Raw genomic sequence first — 4,592 nt, 5'->3', positions numbered from 1 at the left:
GGATATGTGTTTAAATATATTGTTTGCACTTTTGTCTAAACATAAAATATAAAGTGAATATGTAATAGAACTAAAATTTACATTTTGTGATTAGATTATTTCATCATTTTACAAACATCGTAAAGTGTACTCACAGAAACCTAGATGGCATAGCTTACTACACAGCTTGGCTATATAGTAGAGCCTATTGTTCCTAGGCTACAAATCTGTACAGCATGTAACAATTATAACAAAATGGCATTTGTGTATCTAAATATAGAAATGTTACAGTAAAAATACAGTATAAAAGATTAAAAATAGTCCAACTAAATAAGGCACCTACCATGAATAAAACTTGCAGAACTGGAAGTTGCTGTGGGTGAAGCAGTGAGTGAGTTGTGAGTAAATTAAAAAAACAAGCCAATAAAACAGTCAAGGACGTTATTATACACCAGCAGTCCCCAACATTTTTAGGCACCAGGGACCAATTTCATGGAAGACAATATTTTCCATGGACTGTTGGTACAGGGTATGGTTTTGAGGCAAAACTGTTTCATCTCAGATTTTCAGTTATTAGATTTTCATAAGGAGCATGCAGCCTAGATCTCTTTCTTGTGCAATTCACAATGAGAATCTAATGTCACCACTCATCTAACAGAAGGCTGAATTCTGGTGGTAATACTCACTCACCTGCCACCCACCTTATGTTGTGCAGCCCTGTTCCTATCAGGCCATAGGCCACTACTGGCCCATGGCCCAGTGGTTGGGGACCTTTGCTGTACACTACTGTAAACTTTACATTTAGGGTATGATAAATTTATATGAGTATATTTATTTCTTATTTTTGTGGATTCTTTTTTTGAGGCAAGTTCTTATTCTGTCATCCAGGCTGGAGTGCAGTAGCACCATTGGGGCTCACAGCCTCAGCCTTTCAAAGTATTGGGATTACAAGAGTGATCCACCACACTCAATCTTTATTTCTTCAGTAATGTATTAACCTTAGATTACTGTAACATTTTTACTTTAAAAAACTTTTTTTAAATATTGAGTGCTTTTTGACTCTTTTGTAATAATTTAAAACACAAACTTTATAGCTATACAAAACATTTTATTTCTTTTTATCCTTATTCTAGAAGCTTTTCAAAATTTTTTAATTTATTTTTTTTTATTTTTAAACATTTTTGTTAAAATACACACCTAGCATGTGTCTACATAGGGTCAGAATTATACTACTATCTCTCACCTCCACATCTGTCCAATAAATAATACTTAGGGGTAATTACATGCATGGAGCTGTCATCTCCTACACTTTCTTCTGGTGTACCTTCTGAAGAACTTGCCTGAGACTATTTACAGTTAACTTTTTAAAATAAGTAAAAACTACAGTATAAAAAATAAAATGTATAATATAGTAATATATAAACTCATAAGATTGTTGTTTATTATTATCAAGTATTATGTACTGTACAAAATGGTATGTGCTATACTTTTATAAAACTGATAGATCAATGTGTTTGTTTATATCAGCCTCACATATGTGTAATGCCTCATGGTATAATATTAAAATGGCTATATCACTAGGCAATAGTGACACATCCATTAGAATCTTATGGGACCACCATTACACATGTGAACTATTGTTGACGACAATGTTGTTAAATAGTGTGAGACAATACTGGGCTTTGACAAAGACTGTACTTCACCAAACTATATTCAGACTCCTTGGGGCACTCTTCTTGACCAGCCCTTGGCCCTGGCCCTCATCCTGCCTTTGCCTGCTTACCCCAGTCTTAGAAAGGATCTTGCTTAGTTAGTTTAGTGAGAATCCGCACCCTTTTGATATATAATAACATTCTGCATTCCCTCATTTTGTCTAATTCTTTGGCCTGTCTTTAACAAGAATCCTATTAGGTTGGTTTAACAACCATCTATCTCCCTACCCTTGATGTTTCCTTTCAGTAATTTTCTATTCACTGACACTCTCTTCCTGCTGCTCCTTGGCTATACATCTGCACTTGTCATGAACAACTTGTTGGGGCAGACCAAGATGGCTGATTAGAAGCCGCTCTGGTCTGCACCTCTCACAGAGAAGTACAAAAACACTGAGTGAAATATACACCTTCAAATGAGGTATCCAGTTTCTCACACTGGGACTGACTAAGCAGTCAGTGAGACATATGGAGAGTGAGGAAAAGTAGATTGGAGTGACAGCCCACTCAGGAATAGCATGGAGTGAGGAGAGCTCCCACCTAGAGCAAGGGAGGCAGCCAAGGGAGGCAGCAACCCCACCTGGCAAGCCAAGCTTTTCCCATGGATCTTTGCAATCCACAGATCAGGAGATCCCCTCATGAGCCCATGCCACCAGGGCCTTGGGTTCAAATCACAGAGGCATGCAGACTCTCCATGGCTGCTTGGGCATGCATGGAGACACAGGTGTTTTTGCATACTTTGGCCCTGGGAATTCCGGTGAGGCAAGAGATCCATCCATTCCCCTAGGAAAGGAGTTGAAGCCAGGGAGTCAAGCAACGTCATTCAGCAGAACCAACTCACATGTTAACAACCCCTGACTTGGAATTCCAGCCAGCCAGCAGCACAGCAGCAGCAGGCTGGAGACTGCCTGAGACAACTGATTTCCCATAGGGAAAAAGTGGTCGCCATTCTTTGGCTCAAGTTAGCTGTCCTGGTCTGCTGGTTCTGGAGAGTCTGCGCAGTTCAGACAGAGAGGAAATTCCTACAGTGCAGCTCCACTGCTGTGGCATATCATGGCAAGACTGCTTCTTTAAGTGGAAACACAATGCATTCCTCCTCACCGGATGAGGCCTCCTTGCAGGAATTTCGGCAACTCCAGTCAGTTACAAAGAGAACTTTGATCTTCCTGGGACAGAGACCCTGGCGGGAGGGACTGCTGCAGTCTCTGAAGTTCACCCCACTTATCTTTTCCTGCCTGCTGGCTCTGGAGAGTCTGGGTGGTCTAGACAAGGAAGGTTCCCACCAACGCAATGCATCCACTCCGCCAAGGGGCAACCCAACTACTTCTTTAAGTGGATCACTAACCCCATTCCTTCTGACTAGGTGCAACCTCTCAAGAGAAGTCTCCAGAAATCTCCTACAGGAACATTTGGGCTGGCATCAGCTCAGTGCCCCTCTAGGACAGAGCTCCCAAAAGTAGCAGCAGGCTGCTATCTTTATTGTTTTGCAGCCTTTGCTGATGACACCTCCAGGTGCAGGATGGACCCAGGTGATTAGGGTTTGGAGTATACCCCCACCAAACTCAAGCAGCCCTATGGAGGAGGGGCATGATTGTTAAAAGAAAAACAAAGAAACAGAAAGCAACAACAACATCAACAAAAAAGACCCCACAAAAAACCCATTCAAAGGTCAGCAACCTCAAAGATCAAAAGTAGATAAGCCCACAAAGATAAAAGAAAGAATCAATGCAAAAACACCAAAAACTCAAAAACCAGAGTGCCTCTTCTCCTCTAAATAATCTCACTCGTGCAAGGGCAAAGAACTGGGCTGAGGCTGAGATGGCTGAATTGACAGAAGTAGGCTTCAGAAGGTGGGTAATAACAAACTTTGTTGAGCTAAAGGAGCATGTTCTAACCCAATGCAAAAAAGCTAAGAATCATAATAACACATTATAAGAGATGATAAACAGAATAGCCAGTTTAGAGAGGAACATAAATGACATTATAGAGCTAAAAAACACAACACAAGAACTTCACAATGCAATCACAAGTATCAATAGCCAAATAGATCAAATGGAGATAATAATCTCAGTGCTTGAACACTATCTCTCCAAAATAAGACAAGCAGATAAGAACAGAGAAAAAAAGAATAAAAAGAAACAAACAAAACTTCTCAGAAATATGGTATTATGTAAAAAGACCAAACCTACAACTGATTGGCATACCTGAAAGAAACAGGGAGAAAGGAACTAAGTTGGAAAATATATTTCAGGATATCATCCAGGAGAACTTCCCAAACCTAGAAAGACAGGCTAACATTTAAATTCAGGAAATTCAGAGAACACCAGTAAGATACTCCATAAAAAACTAACCCCAAGAAACATAATCACTAGATACTCCAAGGTTGACATGAAAGAAATAATGTTAAGGACAGCCAGAGAGAAAGACCAGATCATCCATTACACTAACAGTGGACCTCTCAGTGGAAACCCTACAAGCCAGAAAAGATTGGGGGCCAATATAATTATTCATTCTTAGAGAAAAGAATTTCCAACCCAGAGTTTCATATCCAGCCAAACTAAGCTTCATAAGTGAGGGAGAAAGAAGATCCTTTTCAGACAACCAAATGCTATGAAAATTTGTCACTACTAGGCCTGCCTTGCAAGAGCTTCTGAAGGAAGAACTAAATATGGAAAGAAAAGACCATTACCAGCCACTACAAAAACACAATAAAGTATAAAGGCCAGTAACACTATGAAACAATTACATAAAAATCTGCAAAATAACTGGCTAGCATCATGAAGATGGGATCAAATTCACACACATTAATATTAACCTTAAATGTAAATGGACTAAATGCCCTAGAATAGAAAGCTGAATAAACAGTTAAGGCTTATTCAAACCAAAAAAGATCAAAAAAGACAA

The 4,592-nt window shown here is 39.5% G+C and overlaps 1 annotated feature.

Annotated features, from left to right (window-relative positions):
* Positions 1,898 to 2,688: an enhancer, noted in NCBI's record as "H3K27ac hESC enhancer chr4:64084881-64085671 (GRCh37/hg19 assembly coordinates)". NCBI's record gives its function as "activates a minimal SCP1, AML or CMV promoter by ChIP-STARR-seq in naive H9 embryonic stem cells {active_cell/tissue: H9 hESC(naive)}" and the evidence as "EXISTENCE:reporter gene assay evidence [ECO:0000049][PMID:30033119]".

This window comes from Homo sapiens, chromosome 4 (genome assembly GCF_000001405.40).
Source record: "Homo sapiens chromosome 4, GRCh38.p14 Primary Assembly".
Lineage (NCBI taxonomy): Eukaryota > Metazoa > Chordata > Mammalia > Primates > Hominidae > Homo > Homo sapiens.
Note: the sequence above shows the minus strand (reverse complement) of the source record. Positions and strands in the feature narration are given on the sequence as shown.